The sequence below is a fragment of the Homo sapiens genome, chromosome 9, assembly GCF_000001405.40.
Source record: "Homo sapiens chromosome 9, GRCh38.p14 Primary Assembly".
In the NCBI taxonomy this organism is placed as follows: Eukaryota; Metazoa; Chordata; class Mammalia; order Primates; family Hominidae; genus Homo; species Homo sapiens.
In genome coordinates this window covers 98,940,254-98,959,376 of record NC_000009.12, presented here as the reverse complement: position 1 = coordinate 98,959,376, position 19,123 = coordinate 98,940,254, and the positions used below count along the sequence as shown (strand labels likewise).

Here is a 19,123-nt window from a genome sequence, read left to right as displayed (position 1 = left end):
TTAAAGAAACTAATTCTGGCCAGGCATGGTGGTCTCCTGGGCTCAAGTGATCGATCCTCCTGCCTCAGCCTCCTGAGTAGCTGGGACTACAGGTTCATGCCACCACACCCAGATCATTTTAGTTTTTAGTTTTTTTTTTTTTTTTTTTTGTAGAGACAGGGTCTCACTATGTTGCCTAGGCTGGTCTCGAACTCCTGGCTTCAAGAGATCCTCCCACCTCGGCTTCCTGAAGTGCTGAGATTACAGATGTGAGCCACCATGCCTGGCCAGAATTAATTTCTTTAAAACAAAGCTACAATACTCTTTCCAGGTATGAAAAATTTCTCAGCCATTCCATGAACTAAAGCAACAGTGCAGAGATGACAGGAGCTGAGCACAGACATAAACTGAGCTGCATACCATTCCAACACAGTCTCAAATGGAACCACTCTTAGAAATGGGGCGCATCAGCCATGGCTTCCAATCCAGCCACCCTATCTCCGTGATGAGCCAGCCTTTTCCTCACTTTGCGGAATACTCACTTTGAGTTTCTAAGTCCAGAGAATGGAGGGGACTTGGCAAAGCTCCTGTGACCAGGCCTAGAACCAAGGAATCCGAGCCACTAAACCAGTGCGGGGCATCTTAGAGAACTTCCCTCCGCCGAGAAAATGAAGACATTCAGTTGCAATTTGATATCAGCCCACACTTGCAAATATTAAACAAATAAAGCCACTTCATTCCTTAATGAAAGCTCATATACTAAAAGGGGAGGGGAAGACCCTGAAATGGAGCCATCTACTGCAGACAGTTAGACCTGAAATAAAATTAGAAAATATGTCACATGGAAAAACTCTGCAGTGAGAAATGGTTTCTTCCACCCCTCCTTTTTTTCTTTCTGTGGGAGAGTGAGTAATTTGGCATTTTAACTAGACAGGGGGAATGAGCAGCTGTAGTCTGTTTTGTACCAAATACACACAGTTGCTGGGCAGTTTTGTATCCCACTTTGTGAATGGGATGACAGTGCAGGATGTGCTCAGCAGTGAGATGAACAGGGCTGAGCAGAGCTGAGCCGAATCACTGCCCCCAACTGCCAGAACGTGCGGCCAAACTGAACTCAGATATCCTAGCATGTTCATGCTAACGATGCTTTTAGAATTGTCTTTCCAACCCCTTCATTTCCCAGATGGGGAAACTGAGGCCCAGAGAGGTACAGTGATTTGCCCACAGCAGAAGAAGAGCAAAGGAATGTTAAGGCTGAGGCTCTGGGAGAGTCTCCACCATGTCCCGCACTGTTGCCATAGTTGCCTCCGGCATGTCATGGGCTCCTCCGTGGCTGGTGGCGACCTGAACGTAACAGGGTTCCACTGGGTTATTACTTCAAAAGGCATTGCCTGAGTACTGGCCAGGGGCCAGGCACAGGGCTAGGTGCTGGTGGCATAGAGAACAACCCCAGCCAGGTGTGATGGTGCCTGTACCAGGAGTTTGAGACCAGTCTGGGCAACACAGTGAAACCCCATTTCTTAAAAAAAGAAAAAAAAAGAAGATAGAAAAATTATTCAGGCATGGTGGCGCACACCTGCAGTCCCAGCTACTTGAGAGGCTGAGCTGGAGGACCACTTAAGCCCAGGGAGGTCAAGGCTGCAGTGAGCTGTGATTGCACCACTGCACCCCAGCCTGGGCAACAGAGTGAGAACCTGTCTCACACAAACACACAAAGAGAGAGAGAGAGAGAGAAATAACCCTAGTCTGGTTTTTTCAGAGTGTCCCTTCCCATACTCTAGCTACTCTGGAGACTCTGTTGGTTTGAGATTAGGGTGTGGGAAGGGATATTCTGGGAGATGAGGCCAGGACAGCACTTGGTGGAACTTCAGAGGGCCTCAAATGCCACACTAAGGAGTAGAAGGCTGTATTTATCTTCCAATGCTGCTATAACAAACTACCACAAACTTAGTGGCTTACATCAACACAAGTTTTTTTATCTTACAGTTCTGGAGGTTAGAAGTCCAACACAGGTCTTACTGAGATAAAAATTAAGGTATCAGCAGACCATGGTTCTTTCTGGAAGCTTTAAGGGAAAATCAGTTTCCTTGCCTTTTGCAGCTTCCAGAGGCTGCCTGCATTCCTTGGCTTGTGGCCCCTTCGTCTATTTTCAAAGCTAGCAAACAAGGATGCTCAAGTCCTCTCACATCACACCACTCTGATTTCCTCTGCCTCCCTTTTCCACTTTTGAGGACGCTTGTGATGATATTGGGCCCAACCAGATAATCGGAGACAATCTCCCTCATTTGAGGTCAGCTGATTATCAGCCTTGATTCCATCTGCAGCCTAACTCCCTTTGCTATAGAACCTAATGGAGTGACACGTCCTGGGGGTTAGGCTGTGGGTCCTTCAGAGGGCCATGACCCTGCCTACCACAGATGGTGATCATGGGAAGATGGCAAAGGGTTTTAAGCAGGGAGCAACACAATCAGAGCTGGTTTAGAGTGTTGCTCAAATGTTAAAAGTGCACACGAATCACCGAGGATCTTGTTAAAATGCTATCCTCAGTCCCCTAGATGGTGTGATTCTGATTTATGAGTTCTGGGGGTGAAGCCAGAGATTCTGCATTTCTGCCAAGTTCCCAGGTTATGCTGATGCTGCTGGTCCATGGACCACACGTAGCAAGATGCTAGAAGCAAGAAGATTGAGTGGCAAGAAGCTAGAAGATTACTGTGGCTGCAGTGTGGAGGATGGATTCTAGGGTGGAGAGGATGGAGGCTGGGAGACAGACCTGTGTGCTGATGTCAAGTTGTAATTGAATTTCTTCATTTCACAAGGCTGTGGTGAGAATTTCACATATGAAATACACACACAGATACACATACATATATGTAAATGTACATATAAAATGTATATTATATAAAACATATACATACACACACAGATGTGTGTATGTGGATATGCATGTGTGTATATATAACATATATGTATATCCTATATATTAAAACTTAAAACAGCACCTGGCACATAAAAAGCACTATATAATTATTAGCACAGATCATACTGTTTTTTGGTTGTTGTTGTTTTTTGTTTCTTTGTTTGTTTTTGTTTTTGAGATGGGGACTTTCTCTGCCACCCAGGCTGGAATGTAGTGGCATGATCTCGGCTCACTGCCACCTCTGCCTCTTGGGCTCAAGAGATTCTCCTGCCTTAGCCTCCCAAGTAGCTGGGACCACAGGCGTGCACCACCACGCCCAGCTAATTTTTGTATTTTTAGTAAAGGCAAGATTTTGTCATGTTGGCCCGGCTGGTCACAAACTCCTGACCTCAGGTGATCCATCTGCCTTGGCCTCCCAAAGTGCTGGGATTATAGGCATGAGCCACCATACCCCAGCCATACCCTTGGTATTTTCTTAGGTTCATGTGAAGCACCAGAGCACTGGCCTAGGAGTCAGGATACCTGGTTCTAGACCTGGCTCTCCTGCCAACTTGAACTGTGACCATGAGCTAGTCACTTTCCTTCTCTGAGCTAGACAATCAAGTCAGAACTAGCTAGCCACTAAGATTGTAGTTGGAGAGGAGAAGCAGTTGGCTGGGCCTATTTCAGAGGTTCTGTGTGTAATGCTGTTGAACTTGCAAGAACTTGGGTTCAGCTTGTCATCAGCTAGAATCTCTACTCTATGTTCTGTGAGATGAAATGGTTGTAACTTTCCTATGCCAGAAAAAGCACAGCTTAACTTTTCTTTCATGAAACATTCTATTCTTGATATACATACTATAGGCAGTGCCTACTCTCACCCTGCTCTAGCCCCATCATCCTGCACAGTGGATGGCTGCAGGGTGGTCTTTCAGTGTGGCTGGAGGCGCACATAGACTTTGCTGGTCAAAGGTTCATAATGCTGGGTTTTCACTAAGATCTCCACAGTCCCAGGCTTTGAATGATTCATTCATTAACTTATTCAAATGCTCATTGTGTCCATTTAGTGCCATGTCAGATGCTGGGGAAACATGGATAAATAAAAACGGCTTCCTGCCCTCAAGGAACCCACAGTGATGTGGGAGCAGGGAAGTAAGGAGGCATTGAACTGATCACCAGTGACAGGCCCGATCACTAATCCTTAGAGTAGGAATTGCCCTAATTTACAGATAAGGAAGACAAGGAGTCCCTCTCTGGGACTCAGCATCACCACCTTTGAAAGGAAGCAGTTGGACTGCATTGGTTATTCTCAGCCTTGGCTGCATCTTAGACTGCACCCAGGAGATTTTCAAACCTGCTGGTGTCTGGACCTTATCTCAGATGTATGAAGAATCCCTGAAGAGCTGGAGGACTGGGCACCAGGCCCCCTTGGAATCCCCAAAATGATTCCAAGGTACTGGAGGCCTGATGACCATCAAGGTCCTCATGACATGAGCTCTCACATTCTAATTTCCTGAAAAACCCTCTTCTAGCCCTTCCACAGACATGTGCAAAATGGATGAATGAAGGAGAAGAGTGGAGAGGGAGGGTGGGAGGAGCCCTCAGCTCTTTTGAGTAAGGCCACCATTTGGAGAAGGATGGTGGCACTGTTCCTTTACCTGTTGTCATTTGCTCCTTTTGGGTTAGAGACACAGCAGTAATAGACAAGGCAGGGTGGGCTTGGCGTTCTCATATGCTGTTGCAGGGAGTATAAATTATTATTGCCTGTCTGAACAATGCAACAAAAGCCTTAAAAATGGGCATGCACTAGACCCAACTATTTGTTTTAGGAAATTGTGTTGTGCTAGGAAATAATTGCAGAAGTCGTCAAATACAAAGCTACAAGACTACGATCGTCACAATAGTGTTCATAATAGTGAGCAATGAGAAACAGCCTAAAAGTTTAATTACAAGACAACCAAACAATGAAATACTATTACAAACACAAAAAATATTAGAGACGAGTATTTAATGTTCCAGAGAAGGTGTCTAGATGATTGTTAAGGGGGAAAAAAGCCATCAACTAAACACTAAATGCAATGTACAGAATGTTCTGTTCATATTATGATCTATGTGCATACTTAGGGGTGGAAAATAAACTTGAAACACAGTCCATCAAATGCTAGCAGGGTTTATCTTTGAGTCACAAGATAATATGTGATCTTTTTAAACTCCTCTTTTTGGCCCTAGTTTTTATAATAACTATGTATTATTTTTATTACCAATTTTTAAAATTTTATTGAAAAAAATGAATCTCTTACAAACACTTCTCACATCCCTCTGCCTCTCCCATCTCCTGGTGGAAATGGACATCCCTACTTTGGCAGTGCAGATGCTTGCTTACACTGTGTTAGGAAACTCAGGACAAGCTCCTTAGCATGCAAGCCAGCTTCTGCGCACTGTCTCTACTACTGAACTATGAGTCCCTCCAGGATGGGCACTGAGTCTAATGCGGCTCTTCAGCCATCCTGCCACCTACTCCAGAGAGTGCCTGGGACAGCAGGAAGCCAGGAATAATAGGAGGAAGACAGACATCTGTAAGAGAAGCCATAATACAGAACAGACAGACCATTTTGAAGACTTCAACAGAAATTCCCTTTGGGAGGAAGCTAGTCACAAAAGACTGCCTAGATGGGAGGAGTGTTTTAAGCTGGGCCCCATTTGAGTCCCTCAGTGATGGGAGGAGTAACTCCTAGAGAGGCCTAAGGCCAGGGTGTTGCCTGCAAGCCAGACTCCAGCCAAGCTCTCCAAACCCAGAAAGGGGTTCCCTGGCATCTAAGGTCAGGGGCCCTGGTCACTTGGGAGAGATACCAGGGCCCTCAGAATAGTTTTTTGCCCTGTTCTGTCCTTTAAACCACCCATGGTATGCAACAAATATGAACTGGAGTGGATTGGATTTGGTTGGGTTGGGATGGGTTTGGTTGGATTGGATTAGGTTGGGTTGGGTTGGATTGGGTTGAGTTTGATGGGGTTGTATTGGATTAGGTGGGTTGAATTGGATTAGGTTGAGTTGGGTTGGATAGGGTTGGGTTGGGTTGAGTTTGGTTATAATGGGGATAAAGAGTGGGCTGCATTCATTAGGTGACCAGGGACCCCTGTCTCTCTCATTAGATGTTGACCTGGATCTGCTCTAACCCTAGACTTTTCCTCTCTGTAGTTTGGATAGAGCAGAAGAAGGTAATCAGTCAGCAAACCTGGCTCCTCCCAACACCTCTGATACCACCTTAGCTCCCCTGGGCACTTTGTTGACAGCAATAGGTCATACCCCACAATCTGATGCTCTGACTTTGAGGTCTTATTTGCTTATCCATTCTCCACACTAGACATTAATGCCTTAAATTGAGTCTTATTGTAAGATTGCCTCCTTTTTACAACCCTCACCTACCCACTACCACTGGTACACTCCCATTATCTAATCATACCATGCAGAAATTATGGAATAAGCCAACCTATACTAAAGAATTCGTGGCTTAATGAAGGAGGTAGGCAGGGGTAACTTCTCTTACCAGACTGTAAAACATAGCACAAAGTAACAAGCATCAAAATTGTATGGATTTAAAACGACATACACATATTAGCACAAGAAAGTGATCAGTAATACAGAGATACCAGAAATAAAAGTATATCATTAAAAGAAAAAATATTATATGATAAGATATCACACAACAATGATGGGCAGTACAGTGATGAGGCAATAGCTCACACTTTAATTAGTACTTGGGGGAAACCTGGGGACCACTTTGGAAAAGAACTGGCTTTAGATTATACCCTAATCTGGCCAAGTGTGGTGGCTCATGCCTGTAATCCCAGCACTTTGGGAGGCCAAGTTGGGAGGATTGCTTGAGCCCAGGAGTTCAAGACCAGCCTGGGCAACATAGAGAGACTTAAAAAAAAGAGAGATTATATCCTAATCTATGGTTCATTTTAAGTGATCAAGCTGTAGATATCAAAAGAAAACTGGAAAATCAACTTACATATTTAGCTAGAAGAAAAAAGATAAATGCACAACTTTTGACAAACTGAGGCAATCAGGAATAAGATGAGTAGAGAGAAGCTGGGAAATAAATTTTTATCCAATTAATATAATAAGAAAGATAAAGAGCAAATTAACATTAGAGTGAATTCCAGCCTAACTAGTTATTACACTATTGAAGAAAACGACAGCCCTATAATATTCCCTGAGTACTCAGTCAAGGTCACCCTACAGCTGACAAAGCCATGGAAGAATTGGAATGACTTACACACCACAGAGAACATAGTAAGTTGGTGCATTAGACCACAGGCTAGACTAACCCCTTCATTCCTTCTTTGATTCATTGAAAAAGTATGCTGAGTACCCACTTCATGCCAGTCCTGCACCTGAAATCCCTGTTCCAGGATTCAGAGTTGGACAGGCCCATCCCTGCCTCATAGAACTTCCTATGTAGCAGTTAGGGATGCAGGCAACTAATCAGTGGTCACTGTACAGTCTGAGAAGCCCTGAGACAAAGAGATGCTCATTATGCCTGGGAGAGGAGAGACAGCTTCCCAGAGTAGAATCTTAGAAGGATGATTTGGGGGTCCCCAGGTACTATGGGGGAAAGGCATTTTTAAAATGGTACTGGTAGCCAGGTGCAGTGGCTCACGCCTGTAATCCCAGCACTTTGGGAGGTCAAGAAGGGTGAATTGCTTGAAGCCAGGAGTTTTAGACCAGCCTGGGCAACACAGCAAAACTCTATGCCTACAAAAAATTTTTAAATTAGCTGGGTATGAGGGTATGTAATCCAGCTACTCAGGAGGCTGAGGAAGGAGGATCCCTTGAGCCCAGGACTTTGAGGCTTCAATGAGCTAAGATTGTACCACTGCACTACAGCCTGGGCAACAGAGAAGACCCTGTCCCAAAAAATAATAATAGAATAAAAATGGCACTAGCCTATGCAAAAGCACAGGTGTGGGACGTTGCATGTCCCATTCAGAAGCCTGCCAGTGATTTGATGTGAGCTGAAGTCCATAGGGACTTAGTGTTAGTGGAGGAAGGCAGGGTCCTCTGGGGCCAGGAGCATGACTCCATCTCAGGTACAGTGAGAACCCAGTGAGGGCAATTATACTAGGAAGCATCATGATTAAATAAGAAAAATCCATCTAAATACATAGTAAGAACTGTCCAACCAGTTCTGTTCTTTGATGGGTGAGTTCTTTGGGGGGAAATATTGCCAAAGGAAATAATCCAAAAGAAAAAGGCCATTTGTCTGAAGATGTCCCAGCAGCACTATTTATAATAATGACAAATTGCTAAAGTCCAGCTCTGGACAAAGTGGCCAGCTCTAGACAATTGTCCTTTGGGAGATGGAGACTGCAGGTCAATGAGGCAAAACTTCAGGTGTGACTCCTACCCACATCTCTCTCACTCAGAAAAGCAAATCAGACTGCCAGGGAGCAAGAGTGGGGTGGTTAGAGGGAAGTTCTGCGCTGCTCTGATTCATATGCTTCCCATTAAATCAGGATTTCTCCAGAGAAGATGGTGGCCAAGAAGCACTTGAAAAAATGCGCAACGTCATTTGTCATTAGAAAATTGCAAATAGGCCAGGCACAGTGGCTCACGCCTGTAATCCCAGCACTTTGGGAGGCCGAGGTGGGTGGATCATGAGGTCAGGAGTTCGAGACCAACATGACCAATATGGTGAAACTGTATCTCTACTAAAAATACAGAAATGAGCTGGGCATGCCTGTAGTCTCAGCTACTCGGGAGGCTAAGGCAGGAGAATTGCTTGAACCTGGGAGGTGGAGGTTGCAGTGAGCCAAGATGGGCCGGCCACCAACTCCAGCCTGGGTGACAGAGTGAGACTCTGTCAAAAGAAAGAAAGAAAGGAAGAGAGAGAGGGAGGGAGGGAGGAAGGAAGGAAGGAAGGAAGGAAGGAAGGAAGGAAGGAAGGGGAAGGGAAGGGAAGGGAAGGAAGGAAGGGAAGGGAAGGAAGGAAGGAAGGGAGGGAGGGAAGGAAGGAGGGAAGGGAGGGAGGGAAGGAAGGAGGGAAGGAAGGAGAAAGAAAAAAGAAAGAAAGAAAGAATTGCAAATAAAAACCACAATGAGATGCCATTTTATATCCACTAAAATGGCTATAATTTTAAAAACTGAAAACAAGCATTGGCGATGATGTGCATAATTAAAGCCCTCATACATTGCTGGTGGGGATGTAAACATGGTGCAGCCACTGTGGAAAACAGTTTGGGGGTTCGTCATACTTGAAACACAGAATTATCATATGACCAGAAATTCTGCTCCTAGGTGCAAAGAAGTAGAAACAGGCCGTCAAGCATCCGAATACTTGTATGCAAATGTTCAGAGCAGCACTATTCACAAAAAACAAAAGGTAGAAATAACCCAAATGTCCATCAACAAATGAATGGAAAAACAAAATTTGGTATATACATACACTGGAATATTACTCAGTCATAAAAAGGCATGAAGTACTGACACATGATACAACATGAGTGAACCATGAAAACTTTATGTTAAATGGAAGAAGTCAGACACAATAGGTCATACACTGTATGATTCCATTTTCATGAAATATCTAGAATAGGCAAGTCCATAGAGGCAGAAAGTAGTTTAGTGACTGCCTGAAGCTGAGAAAATGAGGGAATGGGGAGCAATTGATTAATGGGCATAGATATTTCTTTTGGGGTGATGAAAATGTTTTGGAACTTGATAGAGATGTTGATTGCACAATATTGTGAAGGAACTAAATGACACTGAATTGTGCACTTCAAAATGGTTACTGTTATATAATGTAAATTTCACCTCAATAAAAAGTAAGTCTGGATATCTAAATGGTCAATAAACATATGAAAAGGTAATTAATAATTAGGAAAATGGAAATTAAGGCTACAGTAAGATCAAATATGCACCCATTAGAAATGCTGAAGTTAAGCTCAGTGACAAGATCAAGTGCTGGTGAGGATGTGAAGAAATGGAGGCCCTCATTTCTTGGTAGCTGTGTGGATCTGTACAACCATTTAGAAGACATGCTGGCATTGTCTACTCAGTTGGGGGATATGCACACTCTGATTCAGCACTCCACTCGTAGGTATAGAACCAACAGAAATTCATGCACATGTGCACTGAGAGAAATGTACAAGAATGTTCAGAGCGACACTATTACATTAGCCCAAAATGGAAACAACCCAAATGTTGGAGAAGAATGGATAAGTAACATATGCTATGCTAATGCAATGGACTATTATACAGCAATGGCAATGAACTACAGCCACATACAGCAGCATGAATAAATCTCAAAAACTTATTATTCATTGAAAGAATCAGACATGAAAGAATAGATTCTGCATTTAAAAAGTTCAAAATCGAGTAAAACAGAACTTCAGAATTTTGGGATACACACTTAGATAGTAAAGCTATTTTTAAAAAGCAAGAAAGGGATGACTGTTAATGTCAAGGTAATGGTTACCTCAGAGAGAAAGAAGGGAAAATAAAACCACAGCAAAGGGGTTTAGGAGACCTTCTGGGGATTATCCTATATCTTCATCTGGATTACATGTTTGCTCTGTGATACAAGATTGTACTGTACCTTTAGCATGCACTTTTCTGAATGGATGTTGTATTTCACAATAAAACAGTTTAAACATAAGCAAATAATTTGCAATCATCAACACTTTATTAGCAAGAGCAAATTACTTGTGACACCACCATCCCTACCTGGACAATAGCCCCCTTATCTTCTAAAATATTGGGTATTCCAATGACCCTGAAACTTTACCAGGAAAAGGAAGGATTGGTGTTGTCCTCCAGCTCAACCCTGACCATTGGAGGTACAAGAGGCCATGTGGGTGACACCCACTGACAAGTGTCTCTTTTTTTTTTTTTTTTTTTTTGAGACAGAGTCTCCCTCTGTTGCCAGGCTGGAGTGCAGTGGCGCGATCTTGGCTCACTGCAACCTCCGCCTCCCAGGTTCAAGCTATTCTCCTGCCTCAGCCTCCCAAGTAGCTGGGACTACAGGCGCCCGCCACCATGCCTGGCTAATTTTTTGTATTTTTAGTAGAGACAGGGTTTCACCGTGTTAGCTAGGATGGTCTCAATCTCCTGACCTAATGATCTGCCCGCCCCAGCCTCCCAAAGTGCTGGGATTACAGGTGTGAGCCACCGCGCCCGGCCGACAAGTGTGTCTTTAAACAGGATGGTGTAGAAGGATGGGATTGGCTGCACACAGGACATTCTGCATGGTAGATGAGAAGACTTCAGGAAAAATGGCATTACAGTTGTCTGTGGCCCTTTCTTTCTTCCTGTGAACTATGACCCCTTTGGGGCAGCTCTGTGCCCAAATCCTTTCTGTACCCAGCCAGCATGAGGGCCAGCACAGAATGGGTTTGTTGAACTAAACTATGTGAAATAATCAAACCTCAAACTAGAAAAATATTATTTTGTTTTGTTTCCCAACATTTTAAATTAGGACTACAGAGATGAGTGACTCTTGCCTCTCCACTTCGTAGATGGGAAAACAGGCTCAGAGTGGGAAAAGCAACTCATCTAAGTTCATGGAGGAAGTCAGTGAGTGGAACCCAGGTTTTCCAATACCTGAACTTGTGCTGTTTTAGGGCGTGCAGGATATCAGGAAGTTTACAAAGACCCACTTTTTAACAGATCAACTACCTGCAAAAAACCCATATGCATGTGTTCTACCCCTACCTGAGGAGCCCTGTCCTGGGCCCACAATGGCATTCAGGGATAGTAGGGAGAGTCGATCCAGAGACCTGGAGGTGCAGGCAGAACTCTGGACCCATTTTCTGAGAGAATCAATGCCCTAAGAGGCCAGCAGCTTTTAAGTTGTGAGCTGTGTGCCAGCTCTGTACCAGGCTGGCTAGGAACCCCACCTTGAAGCCCCACCAGATCTGGGGCCTAGATGCTCTGGGAAAATACATTCTTTTATTTAAGAAGCAGCTTTATTGAGGCATAGCTTACATTCCATAAAATTCACCCATTTTAAATGTATAGTTAGATTATTTTAGTAAATTTATAGAGTTGCACAACTACCACCACAATCCAGTTTTAGAACACTCCCCAAAAAGTTTCCTCATGCCCCTTTGCAGTCAATCTCTGCTTCTGTTTTCTGTCTCTGTGGTTCTGCCTTTACAGAAATCTCATATATAGGGACTCTTACAATGTATTGCTTTTTAATGTCTGGCTTCTTTTACTTAGCTTAATGGTATTAAGGTTTATCCATGTTGTTGTAGCATTGATCAATACTTCATTCCTTTTTATTGCTGAGTAGTATTCCATTAAATGGATACACCTCATTTGTTTATCTATTCACCAGCTAATGGTGAATTTAACTTTATTTCCAGTTTTGGTCATTATAAATAATGCTGCTATGAACATACATATGAGTTTTTGGGTGGCCATATGCTTTCCTTTCCCTTAAGTAGATACTTAGGAGTGGAAGTTCTAGATTGTAGGGTAAGTATATATTTAACATTTTAAGAAACTGCCAAATCGTTGGGAACATGTATTTCCGCTCATAACAGCCCACTTACAAACATGCTTTCAGAAGCCACCCCACTTAAGCATACAGCATAGTGGTTACAAGTACAGATTCTGGAGTCAGACCCTCTGGGCTCAAATTGTGCTTATATTACTGAAGGCTACATGCCCTTGGGCAAAAGACTGTGCCTCAGTTTCCTCATCTGTAAAAGGGGATAAGACATGGGGTTGTTGTGATGATTGACTGAGCTCATTCATGGCAGGGCACTTAAAACACTGCTGGTTCATAGTGCTATGAAGTCTTGGCAATTGTTTTTTATAGCCAGTTGGGCAGTGGTCCTATGGAAGGAACAGCACCAGCCCAGAAGTTCACAGACGTGAGAGGGCTATTATGGATCTACCCAGTTACAGTCATGCGGCCTTGAGGAAGTCACATCCCCTCTGTAAGACAGAGCCCAATTTACTTCTCAGCACTGCTGGGTGGTGATTCCAGGGACGTGGTGAAGGTGACATTGTGCTTTGAAGACTGCACAATGCCATGCAATGGACTCATGTTACAATTGTGACATTCAGATTGTGGGGCTCATTGGAGACCATGGAACCCCTAAAGCCTTCTCCATCCGTGAAGCTCTTCTAACTACACACTAGGATGGTTAAGAGCAAGGACTCTGGAGTCAGACTGTCTGGTTCAAATCCCACCCCAGCCACTTAGAAGTCTTGTGACTTTGGACCTCTGTTTCTTCATCTGAAAAACAGAGATAGTAACTGTTCTCAGTCCTCACCTCCTGGAGTGGTTGTAAGGATTGGATGAATGAAATATGAACATGTTCACACCTCCACCTGGATATACAAAGTGTTTTATAAGTATTAGGGATATTAAATTGCATTACAAATGCAGTTTGCAGGAGGATAGTTTACATTTTTAGGAATCGTTTCACATCCCCAAAGGGGCACTGAAAACCCATCAGTTGCAAATGGCCCTCCTTAGACCGTTCTCAGCTCCTGAAGGTTTGCTGGCCCTCCCTTTTTACATTATAAATGGGAATAGGGCTTCCTTTGTGTTAGAAACAACAGCCCTGACACTGAGGGATCCCAGAGACACACACAGGAGGAGAAAGAAACACCAAAGTTCCTATCCCCAGATCCATCTTCCTTTTGGGAAACTGGAAGTTGCAGCAAAGTTCACAAAAGACCATGGAACCCAAAGTTGGCCTCTGCCACTGAGTTGGCAGGGCCCTATATCATATGCAAAATTGCAACTTTCTGACATGAGCCATGGGGCTGAGAAGCTAAAACTATACTCCAGCTGCCCTTTGATCTGCAATAAATGCCAGGCTGGACACTCTGGCAGGAAAAGCTATCATCGGATTTGGGTCTTGTTGCCCAGGAGACAATGGGCTGTCTTGGGCTTCTTCAGGCAAACAAAGAGTTAACCAAGGCCACCTTCTCAATCCCGTTTCCTTTGGGCCGACTAGAGGTTGTTTCCTAGACTTTCTGTTCCCTTATTCAATTGAAGATGTGTACTAATCCCCCAAATTCAAAGGGGAGGGGGTCAGAAGCTATAGAAAGCATGGCTCTTCTGCAAAACTGCATGGAGAAAGAGCTGAGCAAGGGCAAGAGCCTACAGACCTGGATTCAAGTCCTGGCTTTTGGACTGGCCACTTTCTAAGCTTCTCTCAACCTCAATGTTATAAAAATACCTGCATTGCGATGGGATTAATAGAAGCCCAAACCTCAGCACCGTGCAATATACCCTTGTAAAAAACCACACATGACCACTCCCTGAATCTAAAATAAAAATAAAAATACTTGCATTGCTTTCCAACACATAGTTACTGCAAGAATCAAGCAGTAATTTCTATCACTTATTTTGTGCCTAGTATATACTGGAATCATGGGAAGCACATTATTTCTAATTTCTCTAATATTCACAACATTTCTAGGAAGGTAAAATGGTCTAATTAATCGCCTTTTTCAGATGGGGAAACTGAGGCACAGAGCGATGAAATCCATTGCCCAAGATCACTCAGCCAGCCACAGTTCAAACCCAGGCAGTCTGACCTTAACCGAGGCCCATTTTAACTTAGGTCTACTTTAACTTATATCTTACTATTCAGCCAACCGCCTGAGTTCTGCTGGAGAAACTGAGGCCCGGGGAACGGAAGGGATCAGATCTCTGGCTTCCAGGCCACAGCTCTTTCCACCACCGGTGGAGCCACTGCCCATGATAGACGTGACCGCTTAGGTAACTCAGAGCTGGGTTAAGCAACCGAGCAATTCAGTTCCGTTATTTCTTGAGCAGCAAAAGCCCCAGATGTCCCTCCCGGTGTTCATGCTTCGCACCTGTGTGCGGAGAGGCACCAGACCTGCCCTTACCAGAAGCCAGCCAGCACGCACAACCTAAGCTGCTGGCGCTGGGTGCGCTGAGGCTGTTGGCGCTGGCGCTGGCGCTGTTTCTGAAGTCCCTCTCTGCCTAAGATTGGAGGCTCCGCACCCAGCTCAGACATCTCGGGTGCCCAGACAACGCTCCAACCGCCCCAGCTGCCCAGGGATCCCATTCACAGCTATAACCCCTGCACTGCCAGGAGGTAGCCGCCCGCGGGACCGCCAGTGCGCACTGAGTGGCAAGACTCCCTTTTATGTCCAGGAATGAGGCACGCATCGCAGCCGCGTCCGCCGCCAAAACCGACTTCCCCCACGGGCGCGGAGGCAGCCGGTGCCACCCTCCGACCGGGTTGCTTACCTGTCGCACCGCGGGTCTGGGTGACAGCAGGGAGGGGCGTGGAGACCGAGAGCAGCATCAGCAGACACCAGCACTGCCCGTTGTTCCTCCTGCAAGATGTGCCCGAGGGAGAAAAGGTGAGGCGGGCAAGAGTATTGGAGGGGCCCGGGACGCGAGGAAGCAGAGAAGCGGGTCTTACCTTGGTGCCATCTCGCGGGTCTGCGGAGCCCCGGAAGGCGCGCGGCTAGTCGAGCAGAGCGTTGGAGCTTAGCGGAGGACGAAGGGTCGCTGAGCGCTGGCCGCCGCGCTCGCCCTTCCTGCAGGGAACAAAGGCGGCGCTCGGCAGCGGCGGCGGCGGGCAGAATCCCGGCTCCCGGCCCGCGCCCCGAGTCACCCGCGCTCTGAAACCCGACTCCGCCGCGCCCTGCGCTCCCCCGCGCGCTGCGCACTCACGCCCGGGGGATACCGGCCGCCCCGGCCGCCTCCCCACGCCCCTTTCCCCCTCGACGGACGTGCGCTCGCCTCTGCTGCCTCCACCCGCGGCTGCCTTATGTAACCTGCGAGGAAAGCCCCGCGCCCGCGTTCGTTGGGGCAAGCGGGATGGGCTCCCTCCCGCCCTTAAGTCTGTCCTGTCGGGGCTGACCCGCAAGAAAGCACTCTTTCACAGCCGCTGAGGGAATCCTCTCCACAGCCCAGGAAGGCTGGAATCAGTGATTTCCTTATATGATGGACAAGGAGACTGAGGCTCAGAGAGGTGGAGCGTATGTCCCAAAGTCCCAAGCTGCACTGAGCTCCTAGATGCTGTGACCCACCCTGCACGCCTGACACATGGACCGACTTGAATGCCCAGGAGTGGACCTGCCTGGGGGCCATAAGGGATACATACAACTAAATGCAGCAGAGATAATCCTAATAAAAGTTTTTAATGTACTGGATTCCAGGGCTTTCCTCCCTATGTATACCTTGCCTGCCCCCTTCATCAGAATGTAAGCTCCAGGAGGGCTTATCTGTGCTTTGTTCCCTGCCTAAAACAGCTCAGGTAGTAGGAGATGCCAATAAACGCTGGATGAATGAAGGAGCACAGTCTTGGGTGAGGCATCACACCAGGCCCTGTGATGAGATGTGGGGGTCATGAACCAGGCTCTGCCTCCGAAAGCCCTCAGTGGGAGTGAGGCGGTTCAGGGCAGACTAACCCATCTGTGCAGAGCTTATCGCAGGGCACTGGGTAAACCCTCAATGGTCGCTTTTTATTAAGATTACCACCCGGCACATAGTGTGAGATCTTGGAGTGAGAAGAGGCACCGCTGAAGTTGGCTGAGACCTGGACAGCTCTGAAGCCAGGTAAACACTAGAAACCTCTCTTCCTGAAGCACCAAGTAGCCACAGTGGGCCGTGGCTCTGTGGTCAGTTCCTGTGTTTGATTCAGTTCCACTCTAGAGGATGGGTCACCTCTTGCCAAGTGAGTTAGCCTTGCAGAGGAGATGGCATGGGAATGGATATAAGCAACTAATGCTTACTTGGTGTGGATTATGTCCCAAGCCCTCTGCTAAATGCTTTAGCTGTGTTATCTCATTTAATACCCACAACAGCCATGGAAAGGTGATACTGTCATGATCCCCATTTCATAGATAAGAAAGCTGAGGTTCAAAACATTCCAAGGCTAATGAATGGCAGATGCAACACCCATGCTCCTCCCCACTCAGCCATGCTGCCTGCCAGTAAGCAAGAAGATTAGACTCACTCTCCACCCTCAAGAGCAAAATCGCAGTGGAGACACAGAGCACTCGGATATGAAAGGGTTCATGCCAGCCTGGGCGGTGAGGGCTCAGAGGAGGGATGGTTGGCCTGGAGATCAGGAGTCTGGGTTCCAGTCCAATGCTGGCCCTGGCTGCAGGGTGAAGTTGGGCAAATCTTGCCCTTGGTCTGATTTTTTATTTCTCCACCTGGATAATGGACACAACTACCTTGAATTGAATGGTGGCTGTGAGTCCCTTGATGGGACCACCTACTGGTACACCACAGTGCTCTCTGTCCATTGGATTTTGGCTTCTATTATTAGAGGTTGTGGATATTCTCATCGGGGCTGCGGCCTGTGGAGGGGGACAACTGGCAAGACAGAGGGGGGACCCTAGATCAACCTCTTAAGGGATTGAGGCTCCAGTAGCCAAAGCAGCTCGAGAACCAGGTTGGCCTCATGTGGAGCTAACACATAAGGCGAACTGCATCCCGACAAAATTGTCCACTTGAGGCCTCTTTCCTAATCTGTTCACATTCCCTGTGAATGTAAATTCTCTCCCACTTGCAGCCACTCTGTGATGGGCCTAACCTTATTTTATTTTGATTCACTAACCATAGGGAATTTGCTTTCATAATTCTATATTTCTCTATTGTTTGTAAAGTACCACATTAACTAGGAATATAATTGACTTTCTTAGAACTATATTTCTATACTGCTTAGAAAAACCACATCAGTTATGGCTACATAGTAGATCTAGGGTTCTGTTTGACAGTTTTAAAACCAGAGATTGTGAACTGGCAGCCATAGGCTCAATTTTGTTTCATTTTTGATTTTGGTTTTTGTTTTTGTTTGAGATGGAGTGTCGCTCTGTCACCCAGGATGGAGTGCCGCTCTGTCACCCAGGATGGAGTGCAATGGTGGCTCACTGCAACTTCCGCCTCCCGGGTTCAAGTGATTCTCCTCTTCAGCCTTCCAAGTAGCTGGGACTATAGGCGCCCATCACCACACTCGGCTAATTTTTGTATTTTTAGTAGAGACGGGGTTTCACCATGTTGGCCAGGCTGGTCTCAAACTCCTGACCTCAAGTTGATCCACCCATCTCAGCCTTCTAAAGTGCTGGGATTAAAGGCATAAGCCACCATGCCCAGCCTTCAATTTTGCCCATAGATATGTTTTATCTGGTCTGCTGGGTGTCAACCTCCAAATTAAATTGGCTAGCAATATTTGATAATTAGAGAATTGCACAGTAAAATTGAGACTTCTGGATTCTTTTTGAAATTTTGGAAAACCTGGCGACATAAGGCCTGCATTCTCTGTGCCAACAATTGATTGGCATTGAATAGGGGCTGCTGCCTTCAGCTAAGGCAGTACTGTCCAGTTTGCCGTAGTTCCCACCACCCCATATTGTCCCCAAAACCAAAGCTAAGAATCAATTGCCCCTATCACAGTTGCACTCTGCCTTTGCATATAAGAAAAAATGGAATAGGTTGAATGCTCATGTTCCTGTTAAAAATGGGTAAACAGAAGATATATGGGGAGAAGAACATGTTTAAAGAAAGATGGGGAAAAACATATTTCTACTTGTTTAATATACAAATAAAGTGTGTACATTGAAAAAAATAAAAATGAAGGTGCCATTATGAAACAAACCTGGCCTCCTCAGTTACATATATAACATGAAGGGTGAAGACTTGATTGTGATCCAATTTATCAGTCCAAGATACATATGCATAAGGCAACAGATTCCTTTCTACTCTTGCAGGGAAGTCCTATGTGCACATTTCATATTTTGTTGGTTCTCTGTAACTGATGATACCCAATTCACTGGAATCTAAAAATGAAGTTTCCCAAAGCACACTTCTCATCTACAAATGACTGGAAATAGACTCGTGTTAAGGTTGTTGATTTTGCACCTATTTCTCCTGGGAAGCCAGACCATGTTCATATTCAAGAAGGGCTCTCAGTTTGCAGCTTGTCCCTGAACTCAGGCAGATGAAGAACAGGGAGGGTCTCAGGCCTGGGAGCTGAAGTGGGGGCCAAATGGTCCCAGCTGTGGGTGTGGGAGGGATGGGGCAGGAAGCCAAGCAAGACATTTTACCTCCTGCCAGACAGTGTTTTTAGGGCTTAAGTGATTTCCTTCCATTCAATGTTAAGTTGTAGAAATAGCCAAGAGGAAGCTTCGTGTCATACCCAAGCTGATCTAAATTGTTTACCACCGTTCAGTGTAATCTGTGAGATTGGGATGTGTGAAGACTGGGGATCTTATGTCCCAACTCTTAC

General features: G+C 45.7%; 1 protein-coding gene and 1 long non-coding RNA gene across 2 annotated transcripts in view; one reads left to right on the top strand and one right to left on the bottom strand.

Moving 5' to 3' along the window:
• COL15A1 (collagen type XV alpha 1 chain) overlaps positions 1-15,470 on the bottom strand; it is a 126,881-nt gene extending 111,411 nt beyond the window's left edge. Inside the window, exons 1-2 of the mRNA NM_001855.5 lie at positions 15,305-15,470; positions 15,127-15,215 (exon numbers count right to left, since the gene is read on the bottom strand). Of these exons, the coding sequence (NP_001846.3) occupies positions 15,127-15,215; positions 15,305-15,315 (100 nt within the window). The 5' untranslated portion in view covers positions 15,316-15,470. The remainder of the gene's footprint in view (positions 1-15,126; positions 15,216-15,304) is intronic.
• Positions 14,725-18,492, top strand: COL15A1-AS1 (COL15A1 antisense RNA 1). The gene has a single exon (NR_198999.1). It is a non-coding gene; the product is annotated as a COL15A1 antisense RNA 1 (long non-coding RNA).
• The last annotated feature ends 631 nt before the right edge of the window (positions 18,493-19,123 follow it).